Source organism: Homo sapiens, chromosome 13 (genome assembly GCF_000001405.40).
Source record: "Homo sapiens chromosome 13, GRCh38.p14 Primary Assembly".
Lineage (NCBI taxonomy): Eukaryota > Metazoa > Chordata > Mammalia > Primates > Hominidae > Homo > Homo sapiens.
Genome location: NC_000013.11, coordinates 61,392,377 through 61,394,105, shown reverse-complemented (window position 1 = coordinate 61,394,105; position 1,729 = coordinate 61,392,377).

Below are 1,729 nucleotides of genomic sequence, written 5' to 3'. Positions count from 1 at the left end.
CTTTATACTTCGGCTTGAGTAACTTTGTATGACTTAGGAGGAGTGGTCTGTCTTTAACATGTTTAGTGTACTTACATCTACTTGAGTATTCACAAGGCAAACTTTTCTCATTAGCTTCCCCTGTTCCCAAGATGACTTTTAATTATTAATAACTGAAGATACAATGGCCTCTGTTATCAATGTAGGCCATGAAAGTGCATGATCCCAAGTAGAAAATAAAGTGTAAATATTCATGAAAAAATTAATATGAGAATGTAATTGATTATTTTATTTTACTTTAACATAGTATAGGATCCTGAGACAGAAGTTTTTCATTCAAGAGCAATTTTTTTTCAGAATATCAGTTTCATGTTCAGAAAACATGTATAATACTACAAGGCAGAAATAATACTAAATACTAAACACTAAATTAAAATAAGGTAAGTAAATATAATTTCTATATTTTAAAATGTCAATTGATCTAGCAGCAAACAAGTCATTGTGGCTTAGACAAGAGAAGTTTCAATAGAATGCAGTAGAATTTTGAGGTAATAGAAAGTGAATAAGGACAAACAAATCCCTTCCAAAAATTGGGCTTTGAGAAAGTGAAAATATACAGGGCAAAGTAGAAGGGAAATGTATAGTTGGAGGAAACATTTTTTCTCCTCCTCCCATTAGAAAAAAAATGTGAATGCAGTAACATCAATAGTGAGGTAAAGTTAAAGAAAGAAAATAGGGAAGAATCAGTAGCTCAAGTCCAAGATATTTCAGGAGAGCATGTTTTCCAGAGAAAAGGTAGAGGTAATAACCATTGACAGGATGAAAGATGTCTTACAAGGAAGAAGGAGCCCAAGATGGGTGGAAGTGAAATTGTAGAGCTAAATGAAGGAAGTTAAGGGGATAATTACCTAATTTCTCTATGAAATAAGGAGATGAAATCATCTGTAGAGAATTAATAGGAGTTAGGAGAGTTTAAAAATTTGTGGACAGTGGAAGATGATTACAATAAATACTTTAGTGTAAAGAGATAGAAGCCAACTGTGGAAAGGGCATATGAATGCTTTAACAACAAATAGGCCTTAGTTTGTGACATTCTAAATCACTGCTCATATGCACAGGTGCAGGCACAGAGAAATAGATAGTTGAGCTCCAACCAAGATTGAGATTCTGCTAGACAAAATTGATGAAAAGAAAACAAGGCAAAGGAGGGAAAGATACTCAAAGGAGGGTGTTTGAAATGGATAAAACATTAAAACTTAGGGAGGAAGTTAAAAAAAGTTATATGTCCAGAGAGAGCTACTATGAAAAAATTAGAGGATTCTGTAGATTAAAATATATATATATTATAAAAAGCATGAATTTTTTTTAAATTAAAAGAGAAGGACAGAAGGTTGTGATCAGACAGTCTATTGGTAATTTTAGAAGTGGAGCAGTTCTAGGTGACCACTAGGGTCTAAGGTGTGACCACGAGGGAGGGATTTAAATGGTGGGGATGAGAGGGTCACTGTAGATGAAGTAGGGAAGTACTACAGTACTGGCTGGATTACGTGCATGGAGGGTAGGTAGCCTGTAAAGACAGCAGGACTTGAGGAGGTAAGGAAGTCTCTGAGGGTTATGCCAGATCGTCAGTGAATGAGTCAAAGAATGAGGAAATTTGAGTTTGTGACAAAGAAGAGTGTAGCAAAATATAAATATTTTATTTCAAAACATCACTTGGGTTTGAAAACATAATACTTTGTGTTTTATTCCC